Raw genomic sequence first — 24,452 nt, 5'->3', positions numbered from 1 at the left:
ACCGCGCAGGCTGAGCCCCAGGCAGGAAGCAGCCCACTTGGTGGGGTTGGGGTATGAGTCCTTCCTCGCGGGGGCTCGGTGGGTCCTGAGTATTCTTTGGCCGGATTTGCTGATCCGTCTGCTCCAGGTGAGCTGGGAAGGCCGCAGGAAAGGCCCAGAAGGGCCTCGCCAGGAGGCTTAACTGGACAGGGGCTTCTTGAACATTCTCTGTGCCTAAACCTCCGGGTCGCTGCCTGCCCACGACTGGATCTCCTTAGTGTCTGGCGTAGCTCTTGTGAAAAATTCAGGATTGTAGAGTTAGAATGGGGGTGTTGAGCCTGTATCAATTAAGCTTTAAATGTTATGATCTGAATTAGGGTTTATGAAGTGGCTATGTTATCTTCAAAGAGTTAATGTACGTGTTTGGGAGTGGGGGTTGGGGAGTTAAGGGAGCGAAGTGGTAGCTGCCAGTTGAGAACCCACCAGCCTACGTCGTCTGCACCCTCGACCTATGTAAGCATCCTGTAATCCTCACAAGGGTCTTACAGGTACGAATTATCATTTCAACTTTGTAGATGAGGCGCTTTAGGTGCAGGCATGTTAAGAATCAGCCAGTATGATGATGGTTGAAACTGAGAGCTTGGAATCTACCACAGGTTTTATTTATTCCTCAAACAAGCTAGAGACGTATTGCCACCAAGAAGCTTGCTGCCTGGTGAGGGGTTTTTACAGTTAGGTAAAGAATTGCAGAGTAGCTGTAAAATCACATAACTGTGATATGTGACATGATGGGAGCTAGGCAAAAAACTTGGACTAGATCTTAATGGATCTTTTTGCTTTGTTTTCCTTAAAGCATAGGTTCACAAAGTACAGTCCGCAGGCCAGCAGCATCATCTGGGAACTTAGGAAAAAACCAGCCCTACTGAGTCAGAAACTGGGGATGTGGCCCAGGCAATCTTTTACCAAGACCTCCAGGTGATTATAATGCAAGGTAAGATTTGAGAATTGCTTCCATAAAGTAATAAAGGACCAGTGGAATGTTTTCAGTTGAAATATGAAAGGATTCTGTTTGTATTTGAAAAGGTCAGTTTAGCTACAGACTTCAGAAATTGGAGGCACCATTGTGTATCTAGGAGAGAGACATAAGTGGTTTAAACTAGGGTGGTGACTGTGCCTACAGAGCTGTTCTGTTCACTTAATGTCCTGATTTTAAATAGTAGAGAAGACTGCTTTGGGTGTATGCTTGGGGAAAGGAGGGCACAATGATACCTGGAGTGAGTCCTCTTGTGTCCTTTATGAAGGGGTGGCCTGCCCCTCCACACCTGTGGGTATTTCTAGTCGGGTGGGACGAGAGACTGAGAAAAGAAATAAGACAGAGACAAAGTATAGAGAAACAACAGTGGGCCCAGGGGACCGGCGCTCAGCATACCAAGGACCTGCACCGGCACCGGCCTCTGAGTTCCCTCAGTTTTTATTGATTATTATTTTCATTATTTCAGCAAAAAGGAATGTAGTAGGAGAGCAGGGTTATAATAAGGAGAAGGTCAGCAACAAACATGTGAGCAATAGAATCTATGTCATAATTAAGTTCAAGGGAAAGTACTATGACTGGACGTGCACGTAAGCCAGATTTATGTTTCTCTCCACCCAAACATCTCAGCGGAGTAAAGAATAACAAGTCAGCATTACTGCAAACATGTCTCGCCTCCCACCATAGGGCGGTTTTTCTCCTATTTCAGAATTGAACAAAGGTACAATCAGGTTTTATACCAAGACATTCAGTTCCCAGGGGCAGGCAGCAGACCGTGGCCTTCCTCCATCTCAACTGCAAGAGGCTTTCCTCTTTTACTAATTCACCTCAGCACAGACCCTTTACGGGTGTCAGGCTGGGGACAGTCAGGTCTTTCTCATCCCACGAGGCCATATTTCAGACTATCACATGGGGAGAAACCTTGGACAATACCCCGCTTTCAAGGGCAGAGGTCCCTGTGGCTTTCCGCAGTGCATTGTGCCCCTGGTTTATTGAGACTAGAGAATGGCGATGACTTTTACCAAGCATACTGCTTGTAAACATTTTGTTAACAAGGCACGTCCTGCACAGCCCTAGATCCCTTAAACCTTGATTTTATACAACACATGTTTTTGTGAGCTCCAGGTTGAGTCAAAGTGGCTGGGGCAAAGCTACAAATTAACAACATCTCAGCAAAGCAATTGTTTAAAGTACAGGTCTTTTTCAAAATAGAGTCTCTTACGTCTTCCCTTTCTGCATAGACACACAGTGACAGTCTGATCTCTTTCTTTTCCCTGCACTTTGCACTGTGCTAGAGTCCTTTTTTGTATATGTTTTCTTAAAAGTACATTTTTTCTTCTGATTTTACCATTTTTTGCAATGATGCTCTGCAGTTTACTAACTATGTGACATTGGGCAAGATTCTTTTTTTTTTTTTTAAGATGGAGTTTTCCTCTTTTCACCCAGGCTGGAGTGCAATGGCGCCATCTCAGCTCACTGCAACCTCTGCCCCCTGGTTTGAGCCATTCTCCTGCCTTAGCTTCCCAAGTAGCTGGGACTACAGGCGCGCCACCATGCCCGGCTAATTTTTGCATTTTTAGTAGAGACAGGGTTTCACCATGTTGTCCAGGCTGGTCTCGAACACTTGACCTAAGGTAATCTGCCTGCCTTGGCCTCCCAAAGTGCTGGGATTACAAGTGTGAGCCACCGTGCGTGGCTGGGCAAGATTCTTAAAACTTTTTCAGGCTCAATTTTTCCAATCTCTGAGCACCCTATGCAACCTCACTCCCATTCCCATGCACTTTCTAACTTTCTTGTTCTGCTCAACAGTACCCATTTGAAAGTATTAAGCAAGTATTGGGAGTCACCATAGCCACGCTTAGTGTGGGCAGGTGGGAAGAGTGGTTTGTAAGAGACAGTATTCTTTTTATTTCTTTTCTTTCTTTTCCTTTTGTAGAGATGGGATTTTGCCATGTTGCTCAGGCTGGTCTTGAACTCTTGGGCTCAAGCGATCCACCCAGCTTGGCCTCCCAAAGTTCTGGGATTACAGCCCTGAAGCCACGACTCCCGGCCATTATTCTATGTTTTCTGTAGTGTTGTGTTAGAATTTTTCACAAGTTAAATGTACTCTCATCCCTGGATATACAATATACACAGGGCATTGGTTCCAGGGCACCCGAAGATACCAAAATCCATGAATGCTCAAGACCAGTGGATGCAGGTTCTGCATCCCAGGAATACTGTATTTTCGATTCTATCTGAAGTTAATTGTGTTAGTGGATGCTGAACTTGCCAATATGGAGGGCTATTTAAAATAAAGGATGTATTTTAAAATTCTAAAACTTCTGTCTTACTCCAAAATTAGTATAGGAAAATTCTCTGAAGCACACCACTACTACAGTGAGCCCTTGGAAGTTACTGCCTTTACTAATCATTTCAGGACTAGCAACCTTATAAGCCATAACAGCTTTTAGGTGAAATGTCAATGTGCTGCTTTTTTGAGACAGAGCCTTGCTCTGTTGCTCAGGCTGGAGTGCAGTGGCACGATCTCTACTCACTGCAACCTCTGCCTCCAGGGTTCAAGCAATTCTCCCGCTGCAGCCTTCCAAGTAGCTGGAATTACTGGCATGCGCCACCACTGCCAGCTAATTTTTGTATTTTCAGGAGAGACAAGGTTTTACCATGTTGGCCAGGCTGGTTCTCGAACTGCTGACCTCAAGTGATCCACTGCCTTGGCCTCCCAAAGTGCTGGGATTACAGGTGTGAGCCACCACGCCTGGCCCAATGTGTTTTATATGTAAGTAAATATAGGTTATCTCTATATATGTATGTATTACATATAATACATCAACTATAATATGCTATAATAGAAGTATGTGGATTCAGCTAAATTTGTATGACCTCTTGAGAGATTTTCTGAGATAGTCCTACAATATTTTTTATTGTACATGGGTTAAATGCCAAGGACTGTGACAGGTGTCTTAGATAATTTATTCATTTATGCTTAAAACCTGAGACAGTATTATTTCCTACTTTCTGAAAAGTGAAACTCAGAGAAATTAACTTGACCAAGTACATGTAGCTAGCTAAGTGTTAGAGTTGGATGAAAACCCAATTCTGTTAGGTATTGTTAGCTCTCAGTTTGTATTTTATCTCTTTTCTCCATTGTAGTGTTGGATCAGTAAGCCCATTTTTCCCTTTTAAAATATTTGGGATACATTATTAAATATGAACAACTGAACATATCAAATATGAAAAATCTAAGTTGATTTGATATATAGAGGGCTGCATAGGATGCCGTGCGAGTGTAAAGAAGGAGCAGTACAACTTAGTGATTATCATGCCAGTGGTTATGCCAATTAGCGTAATGTTGGATAAGCATGTTCAAATTCTTGTAGACTCCGCTTTTACAGCTCTAGGCTTTTATAGCTCTAATTGAGGATAATAGCTCCTAACTTACGGAGTTGTTCTGATGGTTTAATTGAACCTGTGACTATATGGAAGATCCTTAGCATAGTGCCTGACATATAATAAATTATCCTTGAGAACATGTGTCTTGGGCTGAGTCTCTAGAAGGACCAAAACTTAGTCCTAGGGAAGAAGTGAGGGTAGGGTAATCTAAGCAGAAAGTGGTTTGTGCAGAAGAGGGAAAGCATGATACCTGTGTTTGTTTGTTTGTTTTCGTTAAGTACTTTAGGAGACTGTAGCCAGATGAAGATAATGAAATACGAAGGGTTCTGAATGGCGAGCTAAGGGTGAAAAACTTTGTCCTGACTTGTGGGGAGTTATAAACAGATTGTTATGAGGGGAAACAACATTTAATTTGTTTAAAAAGTGAAGGCCTGAGGGACAAGTTAAATGATATCAAGAAGCAATAGACATGTCAGGTGCGGTGGCTAATGCCTGTAATCCCAGCACTTTGGGAGGCCAAGGTGGGCCGATCACTTGGAGTCCAGAGTTCAAGACCAGCCTGGACAACATGGCGAAACCCTGTCTCCACTAAAGTTACAAACCTTAGCCGGGTGTGGTGGCGCACGCCTGTAGGCCCAGCTACTCAAGAGGCTGAGGCAGGAGAATCACTTGAACCCGGGAGGTGGAGGCTGCAGTGAGCCAAGATTGTGCCACTGCACTCAAGCCTGGGCCACAGAACAAGGCTCCACACACACACACAAAGCAATAGGCAAATCTTGAATTTGGGGTAGTCTAGGACAAAGGTGGAGGCAGGGAACATTATTCTAGATTGAAAAAGATTTAAAAGAACTAATAAGCAAATGCAATACATGGCTCTTGTTTGGATCCAGATTCTAATACATCTAACAGAAAGCTCCTTTGGTCGAGAAGAATTAGCTACAACTTACATGATATTCTTATAAGAAAAAGAGGTTGTTATACTTCCCATTTTACAGGTCAAAGAAATGCGATTCAAAAAAAGACACATCGATTTTCTAAAGATACACAGTCAATAGCTGAGCCAGGATTCAAACCTGGTGTCCTCTCAATAATGTTAGTGCTTACATTGTGAAATACTGCCTCCTGTAGCATGTTGCTGTGATAGCTTTTGCTTGTGCAGTCCTAGGACACTGAATTAAAACTTTAAGTTTGGGAATAATGGATAAATGGTGACTTTCTAGGGCTACTGCATATTTTCCTATTCTGCTAGTCTAAAGAGAATGTATAGTAAAAGAACTTGCTAGGTCACCAAGACAGAGCCAGTTTCACATGTCAAAACCATGCACATACTATTACTGTCACTGTCGTTGGGTTATGAGGAAAGTGAGAGGAAGAAGAAGAGTTAAGAAAGTGTCTAGGGAAAGGAGGTGAAGGGGAAAAAATACTGTATTGATGGTTAGGTGGCTTTCAAGCTTTGATGGAGGAATTTGACTTGCTTAAAATCGGGTACCTGTGGGTGTCTTGAAAGCAAGCCAGGAAGTTTTTCTGCCTCACTTTTGTTTTGAAAGTGTCAAACTTACAGAAAGATTGAAAGGGTATGCATCCTTATACTTTTTCCCTGGATTCACCCCTGTTGTTAACTTTTGCTACATTCATGTTTTCTCTATTTACACTTTTTTTTTTTTTTTTGAGACAGAGTTTCCCTCTGTCACCCAGGCTGGAGTGCGATGGTACGATCTCCACTCACCACAACCTCCTCCTCTCGGGTTCAAGCAATTCTCCTGCCTCAGCCTCCTGAGTAGCTGGGATTATAGGCATGTGCCACCACACCCAGCTAATTCTGTGTTTTTAGTAGAGACGGGGTTTCTCCATGTTATTCAGGCTGGTCTAGAACACCTGACCTCAGGTGATCTGCCCACCTTGGCCTCCCAAAGTGCTGGGATTACAGGCGTGAGCCACCGCACTCGGCTACACATTTTTTTAATTGTTGAACCTTCTGAAAGTTTCAGATGGCTTCCCGCTGTGCATCAGTATATAGATATATCTCCTAACAACAAGGGCATTTTACTTCTTACTGTGATAATTTTATTGTGCTCAATTTAACTGGTACAACATTATGTGATACACAGTCCATACTAAGAATCTCATATTTATTTGTTCCCCATTTTTTTTGAGGGGGGAGATAGAGTTTCACTCTGTCGCTGGGGCTGGAGTGCCGTGCTGCAATCTCAGCTCACTGCCACATCTGCCTCCCGGGTTCCAGTGGTTCTCCTGCCTCAGCCTCCCAAGCAGCTGGGATTACAGGCACATGCCACCATGCCCAGCTAATTTTTTGTATCTTTAGTAGAGATAGGGTATCACCATATTGGCCAGGCTGGTCTTGAACTCCCGGCCTCAAGGGAGCTGAGCGCCTTGGCCCCCCAAAATGCTGGGATTATAGGTGTGAGCCACCACACCCAGCCTGTTCCCAGCATTTTTTTGTTTTGTTTTGTTTTGATTTCAAGATCTCAGATTCAATCAGGGGTCACACGTTGTATTTATCATGTTTGTTTCCTCTCCTTAAATGTAGAAACCTTTTTTTTTAATGCTTGTTTTTCCTGACATTGACATTTTTGAAGAATGCATACCAGTTGTCTTGTAAGAATGCTCCACAATCTGAATTAATTTTCTCTAATGGCAATATTTTTGGAAAGAATATTATATAGGCAATGTTGTATACTTGCCATAGCATCCTATCAGGAAGCACATAAGTTTGTCCCATATTTTTTAGTTTTTTTTTTTTTAATAAGTAATGTATGGCGTGAATCTCTGCAATATGAGAATCTTGTTTTTCCAAGAACTTCCACCCCATGATTTTAGCATTCATTGATGATTCTTGTGTGAACGTTTAATACATTTGTGATTATGGAATTTTAACGTGGTGTCTTTTCTTACTCATAGGAAGGATTCCCTATCTTGGACCTGAGGCTGCTTTCTTGAAGAAAACTTGACTTTATTTCATTTAGTGGGAAGAGCAGCAGCCCAGCTATTAAGTTCTAATATGCAATAGGCTGCAGGCTGTGAAGTGTTCGTGGCAGTAGACTCTGAAGCTAAGGAGCTGAGGGCTTAACAAGTTTCTAGAAGCTGCCATCAACATGCCAAGTCAGTAAAACTGATAGTTGATCAGATTTCAAGGTCTGGGGAGTATATCCACTGTGTACTGGGTCTTGAGCTCTAGAGAGCTAGGCCTTGCTAAAATAAAAGAATTACCTTACCTACCATCTTTGTTCAAGTCTCAATGGAATTTGTTACGGCCCTGGCTGACCTCCGAGCAGAGGCTAGCTGTCCCATCTGTCTGGACTACTTGAAAGACCCAGTGACCATCAGCTGTGGGCATAACTTCTGTCTCTCCTGCATCATTATGTCCTGGAAGGATCTACATGATAGTTTCCCCTGCCCCTTTTGCCACTTTTGCTGTCCAGAAAGGAAATTTATAAGCAATCCCCAGCTGGGTAGTTTGACTGAAATTGCTAAGCAACTCCAGATAAGAAGCAAGAAGAGGAAGAGGCAGGAAGAGAAGCATGTGTGTAAGAAGCATAATCAGGTTTTGACTTTCTTCTGTCAGAAAGACCTAGAGCTTTTATGTCCAAGGTGCAGTTTGTCCACTGATCACCAGCATCACTGTGTTTGGCCCATAAAGAAGGCTGCCTCCTATCATAGGAAAAAACTGGAGGAATACAATGCACCGTGGAAGGAGAGAGTGGAACTAATTGAAAAAGTCATAACTATGCAAACCAGGAAATCACTGGAACTGAAGAAAAAGGTAAAACATAGGGCAGAAGAAGTCAAGTCTGAATTTGAGCAACTTAGGTTATTTCTCCAAAATGAGCAAGAGACTGTTCTTAGGCAATTACAAGATGAAGAGATGGATATTTTAGCACAACTAAATGAAAGCCTAACAAAATTTTCAGATTATACCTCCTCATTAAAATATCTACTAAAGGAGATAGAGAGCATATATGTGAAGTCAGAACTGGAATTACTGGCAAATGTTAAGGATATCTATCACAGATATGAGAATTTAAAATTCCCTGAGCTGTTTTTATTCAAATTAAAAAAATATGGTTACCATCTGCCTCCACAATATTCTGGCCTAGACAAAATTATCAAGCGATTTCAAGTAGATGTAATTCTAGATCCTGAAACAGCACATCGTAAACTTATAGTCTCAGAAGATAGAAAAACTGTGCGCTATGGAAATACAACACAAAATGTACCTCATAACCCAAGAAGATTTTATCTCCTCCCAGCTGTTCTGGGTTCTAAGGGATATAGTTGTGGCAGGCAGTACTGGGAAGTAGAAGTGAAAGACAAGCCTGAATGGATTCTTGGTGTCTGTAATGACTGTCTTCCCAGAAGGAGGAAGAGTCAACCAATTTTAGTACAGGATGGATTATGGGGAATTTGGCGATCTAGTCAGAATAATTATATTGTATTGGGCCACAGGGAAATTATTCTGCTGCCACAAGTAATTCCTAGTAAGATTGGCATTTTTTTAGACTATGAAATGAATGAAGTTTCCTTTTATAATTTGAATGATAGATCTCTTCTCTATACTTTTAATGATAATTTTACAGGAGCACTTTGGCCTTATTTTTATACTGGAACTGACTCAAAACCTCTTAAAATTTCTACAGTAACAGATTCTGAATGAATTATTAGAAGACTCAGTTTCTTTCACCTAGTAGACATAACTGAGCCAGTGAATCTAGTTTTGGCTATTCTGTATTTTGTCCAGTTTTTCCCATAAGAAAGCAATATTTTTTTATCTCAGTTTCAGCAACTTCCAAAAAATGTGATTATGGGACCTACTTTATATTAAATTATGGGGTCAGTGACAAGGTACTTTAGAAATTCTACAGTAAAATACTTGAAACATATATTACTGAAGAAATGTATTATGTAAGAAAATCTATTACTTTTGTAATTGCCAATAAAAGCCCAGTAATTTTTTTCTGTATTTCTTATATACTTTTCCTTTAAGAAAGATTAAGTCTTTATTAAAGGCATTCATCATTACTCTTGGACTACTGCTATGTAAATACAGCCTCTTTTCTTTTTCTTTTCTTTTCTTTTTCCTCTTCTCCCCTCCCCTCCCCTTTTTTCGTTGCCCAGGCTGGAGTGCAATGGCCAGGATCTCGGCTCACTGCAACCTCCGTCTCCCAGGTTCAAGCTATTCTTCAGCCTCAGCCTCCCAAGTAGCTGGGATTACAGGTGTGTACCACCACACCCAGCTAATTTTTGTATTTTTAATAGAGACGGGGTTTCACCATGTTGGTCAGGCTGGTGTCGAACTCCTGACCTCCAGTGATTCACCTGCCTCGGCCTCCCAAAGTGCTGGGATTACAGGTGTGAGCCACCACGCCCAGCCAGGTAGCTACTTTCAGCCTTTTTTTTTTTTTAACTAAAGTTTTTATTTTTCTATTTTGCCCAGCGTGGTGTTGAACTTGTGGCCTCAAGCAATTCTCCTGCCTTAGCCTCCCAAAGCACTGGGGTTACAGGCATGAACCACCATGCCCAGTGCCACTTTCACCTTTCCTCTGTTTACCTCCATATTTCTAAGTAACTTACTTTATTTTTTATTGTGTGTGCCTTTGTTAGTATTGCCTTAGTCCTATAGAAAATGAGATGGCATTCTTACATCCTCCTCTGCCACACACACACATACTGTACATACACAACCGGTAGATAACCTGTTCTGTTCCCACTGGACAGAGTACCCTCTAGTCCTGTTCAGCTACTGTCCTTCACTTCACTTTGGGAACTGATCTCTAGTCTCAGAATCCATCTTAACTTAGTTCCATCTTTTCCTCCTTAGGTTTATTCTGTTAATTCAGGAATTAACATCTTTCAATAGATCACAGATGGGTGACATTTGGAAAACTTGTGTCAACAAAAAAGACGAGCTTTTGATGGGATTATGTTGTATCTTTTTAGATTAATACGGAGAAAATTGACAACATGTCAGTAGACATAACAGTGAATCTATTCAATGAATTTTTATGTAATTGTCTCTGAAATTTGTAGTTTTTAGTGTACGTGTTATTTAACATGTTTTGTCAGATTTGTCCTTAAGTATTTAATTTTTTATGTTGATTATTTCAATTCTAGTTGTTCATTACTAGTATACAGAAAACTAATTTTTGAATATTAATCTTATTGCCTATAGCTGGCTAAACTCATTTTTAGTAGCTCTTGTTTAGATTCCATTGGAGTTTCCGTAGAGATAGTCATGTCATGGGCAGGTAAAGACATCTGTATCTCTTCCTGTGTAATACAGATCATTTTTCTCTTTTTATTTTTTTTTTATTTTTGACATAGAGTCTCGCTCTGTCACCCACACTGTAGTGCAATGGCATTATCTCGTCTCACTGCAACCTCCGCCTCCTGGGTCCAAGCAGTTCTGGAGCCTCAGCACCGCACCCTCTCCACCCAAAGTAGCTGGGATTACAGGTGCCTGCCACCATGCCCAGCTAATTTTTGTATTTTTAGTAGAGATGGGGTTTCATCATGTTGGCCAGGCTGGTCTGGATCTCCTGACCTCAGGTGATCCACCCACTCCGGCCTCCCAAAGTGCTGGAATTACAGACATGAACCACTGCACCCAGCCCCAAAGTACAATTTTTAAAAATCTAGGTTTAATGTTTGAGTTATTGTTCACAAGATTTATTTGAATTACAACTATTGCTTTATAACCACTTTTGCCAGCTTTTTAGAGGCAGTCACTTTGAACTCCTCAGCTCTTTTGGTATTTACTTTTATAGTCACTAAATCACATTCCAATAATACCTCTGGATTTTTCAGTTTGAAGTATTATGATGTCCCACTTTGGGAGACAAGAATTTGGAACAGCCTTCACCTTGTGGCCCTCTTCTAATAGAATTTCTCATTTTTGTTTTAGAATATTTTCTCACATTTATTTTGATTATTTCAATACCATTCATTTCTGAGCCATGTATTGTCAAGTGATTGCCTTTTTGCTTTTTCTATAACAGTTTCCTGTAGTTAATACTGACCTTCAGTATGCTTTGTATTCCATGTTCTTTCCTTAATTCATTCCCAAACTGTCCCCTGCAGTTGTCTAGTTTTCTGAATTCATTTTAAGGCATCTGGCTTTATACCATTTTCATCTTGCAGAATACTCTCAAGGAGCCTTCTCATCTGCAACACAGGCACATTTGTTCACTAAGCCAGTGGCTCAGGTATCTTGGGGATATTCTTGGCATCTCTTGCATTGTTTTACCTGTCTTTATGTTTTTCCATTTCGAACTTGGTTTCTTGTTTAATTTGAGCACATCCTTCAGTAGCTTTCTAGTAAGGTTCATGGGAAATAAAGTTTTTGAGACCTTTGTATCTGAAAATGTCTTTAGTCTATCCTGATATTTAACCAGAAGTTTATCAGGGCCTGGAATTATAGTTTTAAAACAATTCACTCTTATGTATTTTTAACCTTTTAAATTGGGAAATACATTGTTATGATATTTACAATGTGTAATGAAATACATTAAGGCCGGGCACAGTGTCTCATGCCTGTAATCCCAACACTTTGGGAGGCTGAGGCAGGCAGATCATGAGGCCAGGAGTTTGAGACCATCCTGGCTAACACAGTGAAACCCCATCTCTACTAAAAATTCAAAAAATTAGCCAGGCTTGGTGGCATGCACCTGTAGTCCCAGCTACTCGGGAGGCTGAGGCAGGAGAATCACTTGAACCCAGGAGGCAGAAGGTGCAGTGAGCCGAGATCGCGCCACTGCACTCCAGCCTGGGTATCATCTCAAAAAAAAAAAAAAAAAAGCATAGGCAGAATTCTATAAGCATGAGATTTAATCAATACATTACATAGATTTGGTCATGAACTCGCACCCAAGGTCAGCTGGCGTTATAATGGATAAATTCAAGCTCCAGGTGCTATTGTAAAGCTTCAATTTAAGTTTTTTGTTTTTGTCTTTTTTTGAGATGGAGGCTCACTCTGTTGTCCAGGCTGGAGTGCAGTGGTGCAATCTCAGCTCACTGCAGCCTCCCTCTCCCGGATTCAAGCGACTCTCACGCCTTAGCCTCTGGAATAGCTGGAATTACAGACTCGCGTCACCGTGCCCGGTCAATTTTTGTATTTTTAGTAGAGACGGGGTTTCACCATGTTGGCCAGGCTGGTCTCAAACTTCTGATCTCAAGTGATCCACCCGCCTCAGCCTCCCAATGTGCTGGGATTCCAGGTGTGAGCCACTGCGCCCAGCCAGTTATTTTACACCAATTCAGAGAACATTACACATCTGGTTAAATTACAATAATTAGTAGACATCAAAAATAGGATGACGTTGGTGAAATAAGTGTTATTAGAGATACATGGATCAACTGATATATTCGAGGATCTATAAACTCAGTGGCTTCTGTGGACAAGAAAACAGTCATAGTTTAAAGACAGAATCATTTCTGTAAGTGATAAGGGTTTTGTAAATGAAAAATATATACTGATGTATTTCCAGCATCCCTACTCTGCACTCCCCTTGCCAGTTTCTGGCTACTATTTAATATTCCACCACCAACCTTATGTCCCAAAAAATCACTATAATATTCTTTTCCCCTACATAATCAGTCTTCTTCCTAATTGTTCCATCCCTTATTCATCACCCAAACTAAGGCACTGAGATAGTGGAAAGAGCATGCATTTGAAATCCCATACTAACTTGGGCAGTTCGTGGCAGTTAACAATTTATTGCCTCCATTTTTATCTTTTCAAAGAATCAGCTTTGGTTTTGTTGATTTTTCTCTCGTTTCCAATTTTCAATTTTATTGAGTTCTGCTTCAATTTTTATTTTTGTCATTCTTCTTGCTTTACATTTAAAAGCTCTCCATCTCCTTTTTTTCTCTAGTTTCTTTTCTTTTTTTTTTTTTTGAGACAGAGTCTCGCTCTGTCACCCAGGCTGGAGTGCAGTGGCAGGATCTCGGCTCACTGCAAGCTTCGCCTCCCGGGTTCATGCCATTCTCTTGCCTCAGCCTCCCAAGTAGCTGGGACTACATGCGCCCACCACCAAGCCCGGCGAATTTTTGTATTTTTAATAGAGATGGGGTTTCACTGTGTTAGCCAGGATGGTCTCGATTTCCTGACCTCGTGATCAGCCCGCCTCGGCCTCCCAAAGTGCTGAGATTACAGGCATGAGCCACCGCGCCCGGCCATTTTTCTCTAGTTTCTTAAGGTAAAGGGTTAAGTTACTGATTTTAGATTTTTTTCTAATATATTATAAATTTAATTCTATAAATTTCACTCTAAATACTGCTTTAGCTATGTTACACAAATATTGAAATATTGCATTTTTATTTTTATTTTGCTCAAAATATTTAATTTCCCTGAGACTCACTCTTTGACCCAAGAGGTATTTAGAAGTGTACTAGTTTTCACATTTTTTGTGGATTTCCCAGATATTTTTCTGTAATATCTATTATAATTTTGTATAGTCTGATAATGTAGTTTGTGTGATTTCTTTTTTTTTTTTTTTTTGAAACAGAGTTTCACTCTTGTTGCCCAGGCTGGAGTGCAATGGCACAATCTCGGCTTACTACAACCCCTGCCTACTGGGTTCAAGCGATTCTCCCATCTCAGCCTCCCAAATAGCTGGGATTACAGGTGCACACCACCACGCCTAGCTAATTTTTGTATTTTTAGTAGATACGAGGTTTCTCCATGTTGGCCAGGCTGGTCTCGAACTCCTGACCTCAGGTGATCTGCGTGCCTTGGCAGTGCTGGGATTACAGGCGTGAGCCACCGTGCCCTGTCATTTGTGTGATTTCTATTCTTTAAATGTGTGAAGGAATGTTCCATAGCCCATGATATGGTTTATCTTGGTGAGTGTCCCATAGGAGCTTGAAAAGAATGCTTATTTTGCGTTCTCTGTTTTTTGTTTTCACTGGAGACAAGATGTCACTAATGTTACCCAGGTTGGTCTCAAACTCCTGGCCCCAAGTGATCCACCCACCATGGACTTCAAAACTGCTAGGATTAAAACAGGGTCTGACTATATTGCCCAGGCTGGCATTCAGTAGCTATTCATAGGCAGAATCACAGCCCACGGCAGCCCCAAACTCCTACTCTCTGCCTCAGCCTCCTGAATAGCTGGGACTACAGGTGCACTCCACCATGCCTGGCTTCTCTGGGTTTAGTTAAGCATGTTTTATGATTACATTTTAATTTTTTCTATTAACTTATTTTATACATCTTTTAAAAACATTTTAATGGTTCTCCTAGGGTTTATAGTATATATTTTTAAATAATTTGGGGCCTCCTTTAAATGAAATTATACTGTTTCCCTTTCAGTATAAGAACCTTGTAATAGTATATTCCCAATTCTCACTGATCCTTTGTGGTCTTGTATTCATATATGGACTACTTTTACATATGCTGGAAAAACACTATATATTATTGTTTTAAACTGCTAGTTATCTTTTACAGCAATTACCTTTATTTTATTTTTATGCACTTTATTTCTTTGTGTAAACACAAGTTTCTGACATATATAATATTCCTTTGGCCCAAAGTACTTTTTTTTTTTTTTTAACATTTCTTGTAGTGTCCACTTGATGGCAATGAATTCCCTCCATTTTATTTTTTCTAAGCATTTCGACATTGATTTTGATAAATATGCTAATTGGTTATAGAATTGTGAGTTGGCAGCATTTTTTTATTTACAGAAGTAACTATTGTCAGGCCGGGCGCAGTGGCTCACGCCTGTAATCCCAGCACTTTGGGAGGCCGAGGTGGGCAGATCACGAGGTCAGGAGATCGAGACCATCCTGGCTTACACGGTGAAACCCCGTCTCTAATAAAAATACACACACACACACACACACACACACACAAATTAGCCAGGCATGGTGGCAGGCGCCTGTAGTCCCAGCTACTCGGGAGGCTGAGGCAGGAGAATGGCGTGAACCCGGGAGGCGGAGCTTGCAGTGAGCCAAGATCGCACCACTGCACTCCAGCCTGGGTGACAGAGCAACACTGTCTCAAAAAAAAAAAAAAAAAAAGAAGTAACTATTGTGTCCTTGATTTCACATTTTCTGATGAGAGGTCTGTTGTAATTCTTATCCTCCTTCCTTATCCTCCTTCTTATCCTCCTTCATGCACTGCAAAACAGTGTTTCACCCACTGACCACATACAGTACAGTGGTCCTATAAGATAATAAAACTATTTTTACGGAACTTTTTCTATGCTTGCCATTGTATTACAGTTGTCTATAGTATTCAGTACAGTAACGTGCTGTACAGGTTTATAGCCTAGAAGCATTCAGCTGTACTATGTAGCTTACAGGTACAATAAGCTACACAACTGCAATCTAGGTTCATGTAAGCATACTCTATGATGTTCACAGAATGATGAAATCATCCTATGATGTACTTCTCAGACCATATTCCTATAGTTAACGTATGCATGGCAGTCATGTATTTTTTTACTTGGACTGCCTTCAAAACTGTTTTTGATTTTAATTTTCAGCAGTTTGAATTTGATTGATATACCTATATTTGGGGATTTGCTATCATTTTTCTTGTTTTGGGGTTTTTTTGGTGTGTGTTTTTTGATATTCATCATGCTTGGTGGGCTTCTTGGTTCTGGAGTTTTCATGTCTGTAACTAAATTCTTGGCCATTTTTTTTTCAAATATTTCTTCTGCTCTTTTTTTATTTTTTAATTTTTATTTATTTTTGCCATCATTTCCTAGTGATGAGATTTCTTCTGAGATTCCAAGTATCCACAAATGACACCATTTGATACTGTCCCACAGTTCTAAGGCTCTCTTTTTTATTCTTTTCACTTTATATTTCAGTTTGGGTAATTTGTTTATATTCAAGTTCACTGATTATTTCCCTAAGTGTGTTAAGGGTACTAATGAGCCCATTGAAGGCATCTTCATCTCTTTTCTGTGGTTTTCATTGCTAGCATTTCCATTTGATTTTATAGTTTCCAACTCTCTGATAAAATTATCTATCTGACTCTGCATGTTGTCTTTATTTTCTGCCAAAGCCTTTAACATATCAATTATTGTTATTTTTCTTTCTTTTTTTTTTTTTTTTTTTTTTTTTTTTTTTTTTTTTTTTGCCTGAGAGTTCTTATTTTCTGTCATAGCTTAGTCTGGTTCTGATGTTTTGTCTCTTCAGAGTGTGGTTTATTGTCCTCTTACATTGTCTTTTTGTGTGCCTTATATTTTGATTTTTGTTTTTTGTTTCTTTTGTAAAAACCAGACATGTGTAGGAAAATATATACTGAGGTAAATATATGTATATATGTATACATTTTTTTTGAGATAGAGTCTTACTCTGCCACCCAGGTTTGAGTGCAGTGGCACCATCTTGGCTCACTACGACCTCCGCTTCCTGGTTTCAAGTGATTTTCCTGCCACAGCCTCCCAAATAGCTGGTATTATAGGCATGTGTCACCACGCCCAGCTAATTTTTGTATATTCAGTAGAGATGGGTTTTCACCACGTTGGTTAGGCTGGTCTTGAATTCCTGACCTCAGGTGATCTGCCTGCCTCAGCCTCCCAAAGTGATGGGATTATGGGCATGACCCACCACACCCAGCTGGTAAATATTTTTATACTTGTAGATTATATTAGTTTTATAGGGAATACCCTAATATGGTATCACAAACTGGGTAGTTTACATAACAGGAAATTTTTTTTCCTTTTTTTTTTTTTGAGACAGAGTCTTACTCTGTCGCCCGGATTGGAGTGCAGTGGTGCCATCTCGGCTCACTGCAACCTCCACTCCTTGGGTTCAAGCAAATCTCCTGCCTCAGCTTCCCAAGTAGCTGGGATTACAGGAGCCTGCCACCATGCCTACCTATTTTTTTTTCTTTTTTTTGTATTTTTAATAGAGATGGAGTTTCATCATCTTGGCAAGGCTGGTCTTGAACTCCTGACCTCGTGATCCACCCGCCTCGGCCTCGAAAAGTGATGGGATTACAAGCATGAACCATCGTGTCCAGCCCATAACAGGAAATTTATTGTCTCACAGTTCTGGAGGCTGGGTCCAAATTATGAGTGTTGGCAGGATTGGTTTGTTCTGAGGGCTGTGATATAGAATTTCTTCCATGCCTCCAGGTTCTGTTGTGTTGCTGCCAATCTTTGGCATTCCTTGGCTAGTAGATGCATCACTCCAATGGCATTCCCCCGTGTTTCCTCATATAATCTTCCTCTGTGCATATCTTTGTGTCAAAATTTCATCTTTTTATAAGGACTGCAGTGATACTGGATTAAGGCCCACCCTAATGACCTCATTTTGACCAATTACCTTCTAAAGACCTAATTTCCAAATAAGGTCACATCTGAAGTACTGGAGTTAGCCCTTCAACATACTTTTTCGGGAGAACACAATTCAACCAATAGCAGAGATGAACTTGTTTCCCTTCTGCTAGGCCCGTAGTGAGGGTGTGTTTGTATTAATCGAGCCAGGAGTTAGGCAGAGTTTGAAGTTTGTTATTGCTATCGTTACCATTAATACATTAAAGACTTCACACTCCCCTAGTGATATGTCTCTTTAATTTCTCAAACTGGATTCTACTGTTATTTTTACTCAACTCCTCTTAGTGTGGTTTTGGGAGTTGGGGAAGCCTGTGTTCTCTGATGTTCTGATTGAGCATGAGTCATGGGCAAGCACTCTGAACTTTGGTCTCAGGCATGTGTGGCCTTCACAAATGTTCTTCACCCTCCTCCAGATGTAATGCTGGGCCTAGCACACATTCCCACATCTCACAGCACAAGGAAAATGACTGGCACATCTTCCAAGTCCCCTTTTTCAGGGAACTACCTGGTGATACGCTCACCAAAAGAAGGGAAGAAAACTAAGAAGGAAAACAAGGGACTCAGACAACAATAGACTTAAAACCTCTGGACATAAGACAGAAGATAAAAGATAATTCTTAGGGTAAGGGAAACATGAAAGGCCTCAGAGGACAGCTGTGCATCATATCACCAAATTTCAGTTCATGCTAAGATGACAGAGGGCTTCAGGAGATTGAGCACTATAAAGAAAATGAATATAATCAACAAATTACATGTCGAGTTTAGAAAGGAACTTTAGAGATGAGCAGATATGGGGCTGAAAGAGATAAACAGAAAATGCAGCAAGTAAGAAATCAGGCAATTTTAATCACAATAAAACAAAATTTGTGTATCAAAGAAATTATAATTATAGCACCTAAGTGGCTCAGCTGTGAACAATTATATAGTCATATGAACGTATTAATCCAATTATATTACCATATTTGGATATTTGTGGGGAAAGATAGAGTATGTGCCTGGGTGGTGCGAGAGACCTAAATTCTCAGTTTATCTAATAGAATGTTAATTTAAAATGTCTAACATTAGACATATTACAGTTATGAAGAAATAGCAAGGTCACTGGAATAAATCATGCCTCTGTTTAACAGGAATTTGGTGTAGGATGGCATGACCCAGGAGGTTTTTGTTTTTATATAAGCCTGTTTTGTTGCTGGAATGAACTAATAGCTCTCTACATAATTTTGATAAAATTCATAATGTGGGAAGCATTGAATTATTGACTGTGTAATACCATCTTTCATCTTAGAATATCAAAAGTACTTTACAATTTATTCCCATTACATCTCTGAAGAGTAGGCATTTCTAATACTGTTTTATTGATAGTTGCTAAAATAATGAAAGAAAAAAACTTTCTTCTGCTTGTAAGTGGCAGACAATTCAGAATTGAAGAGCTCCTCTCCTAAATAATACAAAATAGCTTTCAAATAATTCATCCTTCATAATCTATTACTGTACAGGTTATAAGAGGTTAGAAATCATACCCAGTGTGAAACACAGCCTAAGTAGTTTCATAAAAATATCACTTGAAGAAAAGATTTCAGACCTGGCATTCAAGTCATAAGATTAAACCTCATCCCCTTCATTGTCCAGAACAAATCCTAACATTACTGGGTCTTACTTTTAATAGAACGATTGCCACTCTATGTAGTGTAATTACTTTGGCAAAGTTATTACATTTCTATAGCTGAAAACTAAAGCATGAATCCTATTGTGATGGCGTCTTTTTCCATCTCCTGGGAAGACAATTCTAACAAACAACTCTATTATATCTATCCAGTTTGATTTTGTCCTCTTTCTCTTCCTCCTGGTAATAACAGCCTTAATCTTTTTTGGATCATGAGTTTTTGTGGTGTCTTTCCAAATCGCACTGTATTCTATCTTTAGAGATACAAGATTATGACTTGCTGTTTCAGAATCTAGAGTCAGATCTATGTAAAATGAATTAAGAATGTTTTGTCGACCATAATGTTGTGGCAGAAGTCTAGAATCATCATCCCTTGTTAAAATGGAAAAGCTCATAAAGTTTTTGTCTTAATACCTGTTATTGATACATACCCTTATATCAGTTACTAATTATTTGAGTGAATAGTTTACTCTGCTATCTCACTTATTAGAGCTTTAAATAAGAAAATATGGTCTGAAAGTTTTGTTTTCATCTAGTGTGCGTATCATATCCTATTCTTTATATTTTCAGGTTTTCAGAACTGCATCTTATTCATTTTCCGAATAAAGCACAAAGTGCTCAAAATCAGAGTTTAATCTCTTCCTCTAATATTCGACTATCTTCGGTAGCATTCATGTATTTTTAGTTAACATAACGATTGGTTTAGTTTTGGCTTATTTAAAGCATTTTACACTTGCTGTTTCAGATGTCAGATGTCCCCTGTGAGCTTCTTCCTTGAGGCAGCCTGCTCTATAGGACAGGTGAGCCCAGCGGGAGCCAGCCCACTGCAGACCCAAACCCTCTAGTCCTTGTCACAAAAAGAGGCTGGGACCTGATGGTGGTTCTCTTCCTGACTTTTCCTGGTGGTCCTTCTGACTTGGAGTGGCCTGGCAATTTCGGTGGCGTGACAGCCGGAATGCTGCCACTAAAATTCCTCTCTGGGCACCATGAGCGGCTGACAGGGCACGCGGAGAAAACGATTCGCTTCTCCCAGGATTGGTGGAGCGACCGCTGTTGGACGAATGTGGTCGTCCCTGGATGTCTGAGCAAAGAGACACTGCCATGGCGGCCGCCGGTCAGCGTATAAGGTCTGTTAGGGAGACCCGAAGCCCTGCACCAGGAACGCAGTTTGGCTCGCCCAGCCCACCCTGCAGGGCTGGCTCTCCAGGCGCTGGGTCCGGGGAGAAGAGGACAGCTGCCCCGCCGCACCGCGCATCCTTCCATCCACTGTGGTACATGGCGCTGCCCCGGTCTCCAACGTCGCGCCACACCTTCACGGTCTCACCCGGAAGTCGAAGCCCAGAGACGGTGCCGGCCGCACCCAATCACTGCTCTGCCGCTCCGACTTCCGCTACGGACTCGCCCAGCCTCCTGGGAGAAACGCTGCAGTGCTTGGGGTGCTGAAGCCCCTTGAGAGCCTTGTGTTCTGTGAGAAAGTTGCATTCTGAAGGAACCTCAGCTGTTTGCTTTGCTCTTCTGCCACCCAACCCTACCTGTGCCAGACTGAGGGCTCTCCCTGCCCCGCCTTAACAGAAGAGAATTCCAGTTGCTGTTTTAATTTATTGAATCTTATTTATAACTGGTTGGAGAAAAATATGGTTATAATTCCCACTGAACAGCTTATTAAAAGTTACAGTAACACTATGATAATTGAGATATTGTCTTTTAGGGAATAAATAATGAAATTATAAGATGAAATATACAGATGAAATTATAAGATGTCTGGGAATTTACTCCATTGGCAGGAGAAGTTGCTGGGGTTATAAAGATTGTTAATTCAAATGATAGAAATTGGTTTCTTTTTATGTGTACGTTCTTCATAATGTTCTCTCTACTATTATGGATGTATGAAATACTCCACAATTTAAAAGCTTCCTTTTATACCCGGCATGGAAGCTCATGCCTGTAATCCCAGCACTTTGGTAGGCTGAGGTGGGCGGATCACATGAGCTCTGGAGTTTGAGACCAGCCAGGCCAACATGGTGAAACCCTGTCTGTACAAAAAATACAAAAATTAGCCGGACATGTTGGCCCGCCCCTGTGGTCCCAGCTACTCCGGAGGCTGAGGTGGGAGAATCGCTTGAACCTGGGGAGTTGAGGTTGCAGTGAGCCAGGATGGCGCCACTGCACCTCAGTCTGGACGACAGAACGAGAGCTTGTCTCAAAAAAATAAATAAACGAAAGATTTATTTCAAAAGGCTAATCATGTTTCAGCGTTATCAATGCCTCGTTCCAGAAAAGCTCATTTCTCTTACTCTTTTCTTTGAGCCGCCTCCCCGTTTTCAGTCCGCCTCAGGGCTCTCAGATTCTGTCTCCTTTGTCTTCCTCCTCACAGTTGTCCCTAATCTTAATCGATTTTCCATCCTCTACCAATTTCCTGTCTACACCCTCTTTAATCTCATAAAACTGCCAAATTAGTTTAAATCGGGATTGAGGAAAGAGCGAGACTAGGCATTGTGCTTCCATCTGGGTGTGTGTGTCTTGTGTGTGGATCCCAGGCCTGGTCTCAGATTACCTGAGTCATCTGGGGCTGGTCCCTGATATCCTCTCTTCATCCTTTTGTGGTCACATGAAGACAAGGAAAATCAACCTCAATTTCCCTTTAAGTTTTCTGTAAATATAAACACCAATAAAGACATATCTTCTGGAAAACTTGTTTTTTTTTTTTTTTTTTTTTTGAGACTGAATCTCTCTTAGTCACCCAGGCTGGACTGCAGTGGCAAGTTCGTAGCTCACTGTAGCCTCAAACTCTTGACCTCAAGCAATCTTCCTGCCTGGGCCTCCCACACTACTCGGGTTGCAGTCTTGAGCCATTGAGCTCAGCCTGGAAAAAATTTTTTAAAACATAGGATTTGGTGTGGCACAGAACTCAATATATTCCAAGAATGGTTTGTGTTTCTGATTCTTCTGTTGACTGTTTAATGGTAGATATGCTGATTATGCAGAACAGTTCAGACATAATTAGATGTAATTAGGGCAAACCAGCATGAGGCCCCTTATGAGAAGTCCAAATCTGTGATTGTCATACAACATACAAAAGAACTGTCTCATATACGATGTCAGAGTAAAGAGTGAACCAAATAGGTTATGTGTAGGACATGTGTATACTACTATAATACCATAATAATTTTTTTTTTTTTTTTTTTTGAGATGGAGTCTCCTTCTGTCACCAGGCTGGAGTGCAGTTGCACGATCTCGGCTCACTTCAACCTCCGCCTCCCGGGATCAAGCGATTCTTCTGCCTCTGGCTCCTGAGTAGCTGGGACTACAGGTGCCCTCCACCATGCCCAGCTAACTTCTGTATTTCTAGTAGAGACAGGGTTTCATCATGTTGGCCAGATGGTCTCGATCTCTTGACCTTGTGATCTGCCTGCCTTGGCCTCCCAAAGTGCTGGGATTACAGGCATGAGCCACTGTGCTGGGCCAATAAAATTTTAAGTAAATATAAAACAGCATATTTATATTTTATTTTTTGTAGAGATGGTTGCCCAGGCTGGTCTGGAACTCCTGACCTCAAGCGATCTTCCTGCCTTGACCTCCCAAAGTGCTGGGATTATAGCCATGCTGCCAACCATGTGTAGGGTATGTATATGTTCCTATACCATAATAAAATTTTAATTACATTTGTAAGGTATGTAATTATATGTATTTCTGTATAATATGTACATATAAATATGCTAATTAATACAAGAACATATTGAATTATAATCAATATATATAATTTTAGATGTATATTGGAATGTTTATCTTTCTAATAATACAAAACTGATGGTTAAAAAATAAAATGCACAAACTCCCCAAGGTTCCTTCCTATGTGGCTACTTTCCCCAGCTTAGGTCCAGCCAAAGGCTGCACGCCCTTTACTGAGTGTAGCTCACCTGTGCCTCCTGGTGCAATCCTCACTCAGATATTCTGCTCCCAGTAGAGGGTTAGTGTAGGGTGCGGAGCCTACCTGTATTCACTTGTCAGCAGTTCACTGGGGATTGTCAGCTTTTTCCATCCTTGCAGAGCTGTTTCTTCGTCGATCCAGGTCAGAAGACGCAACACAGTCCCTACTTCTTGTTCACCAAAATGGTGACCTCAGAACGAATTCAGTCTTAAACCCTGTAGGGAGTTTTTTTTTCCTTATGCAGTCAGCATGGGGGAAGTGACAGGTCCCAGAGGGCAGTTCTCTCTTGTTCTCTGATTGCTCCTGCAGGGTCCTGGGTTGGTGAAGGGGACAGGGGTAGGGACCTGCAGAATGGTTGTGATGGGGTGGGAGCTGCGGAAGTAACACATCATGCACTGAGTGGAGCATAAGGGCAAGTGCTGGGTTTTTTTGTTTCACTTTTTTTTGGACACAGGATGTTGCTCTGTCACCCTGTTGTGCAGTGATGCAGTCATGGTTCACTGTAACCTGGAACTCCTGGGCTCAAGCAATCCTCCAGCCTCAACCTTCCAAATAGCTAGGACTGCAGGCACACATCACCATGCCCAGCTAATTTTTAAAAATTATTCTTTTTGAAGAAACGGTGTCTCACTATGTAGGCCAGGCTAGTTTGGAACTCCTGGCCTTATCCTCCTTTCTTGACCTCCCAAAGTGCTGGCATTACAGCCATGGCTCCCAGCCAGTCTTTTGTTATTCATAATGAGCCCCTTTGGATCAACTGGATTTATGCTAATGAGGTGGGTTGGGTTGGGGCCCCAGGGTAGCCTCAGGATAGGGCTACTCACAGAAGACCAAGTGATTAGAACTTTCAGTAGGATGGTGGGGGGACCTGGAAAATAAACTTTATACAAATTCTTGAAGAAAGTAATATGAGGAGCTTTGAGATTTGTGAACACCTTGAGGTGCGGGGAGGGTGGACCACCCAGAGAGGGAATGAAACTATATTTAAATATTAAATGTGATACCTATACTGCACTTACACTTTTAAAATCGTTCTTTTAGTGATTTATTTTAAGATATAGATAAAATGATATGATGTATGAATACTGCATTAAAATGATTTGGGGAAGGTAGAGCATGATCTTGATAAAATAAAATTGACCATAATAATTA

The 24,452-nt window shown here is 41.0% G+C and overlaps 1 protein-coding gene and 1 long non-coding RNA gene across 3 annotated transcripts, besides 2 other annotated features; one reads left to right on the top strand and one right to left on the bottom strand.

Annotated features, from left to right (window-relative positions):
* On the top strand, positions 1-23,212 carry TRIM61 (tripartite motif containing 61). Of its 2 annotated transcripts, NM_001012414.3 has the most exons (5): positions 1-127; positions 833-970; positions 7,319-8,180; positions 22,562-22,682; positions 22,890-23,212. In NM_001012414.3, the coding sequence occupies exons 3-4, from the start codon at positions 7,656-7,658 to the stop codon at positions 22,664-22,666; spliced, it is 630 nt and encodes a 209-aa protein (NP_001012414.1). In that variant the 5' UTR covers positions 1-127; positions 833-970; positions 7,319-7,655; the 3' UTR covers positions 22,667-22,682; positions 22,890-23,212. The 2 variants fall into 2 exon arrangements, with proteins under 2 accessions (NP_001012414.1, NP_001401833.1); NM_001414904.1 differs by lacking the exons at positions 22,562-22,682; positions 22,890-23,212 and having other exon boundaries at positions 7,319-9,377.
* On the bottom strand, positions 18,527-20,710 carry FAM218A (family with sequence similarity 218 member A). The gene has a single exon (NR_160935.1). It is a non-coding gene; the product is annotated as a family with sequence similarity 218 member A (long non-coding RNA).
* Positions 20,451-20,610: an enhancer, noted in NCBI's record as "active region_22112". NCBI's record gives its function as "activates an Ori minimal core promoter by ATAC-STARR-seq in GM12878 lymphoblastoid cells {active_cell/tissue: GM12878}" and the evidence as "EXISTENCE:reporter gene assay evidence [ECO:0000049][PMID:35858748]".
* Positions 20,911-20,960: an enhancer, noted in NCBI's record as "active region_22111". NCBI's record gives its function as "activates an Ori minimal core promoter by ATAC-STARR-seq in GM12878 lymphoblastoid cells {active_cell/tissue: GM12878}" and the evidence as "EXISTENCE:reporter gene assay evidence [ECO:0000049][PMID:35858748]".
* Positions 23,213-24,452: the final 1,240 nt, after the last annotated feature.

The sequence above is a fragment of the Homo sapiens genome, chromosome 4 (genome assembly GCF_000001405.40).
Source record: "Homo sapiens chromosome 4, GRCh38.p14 Primary Assembly".
Taxonomy (NCBI): Eukaryota; Metazoa; Chordata; class Mammalia; order Primates; family Hominidae; genus Homo; species Homo sapiens.
The sequence above is the reverse complement of the archived record's forward strand: the minus strand, read 5'-3'. Positions and strand labels throughout refer to the sequence as shown.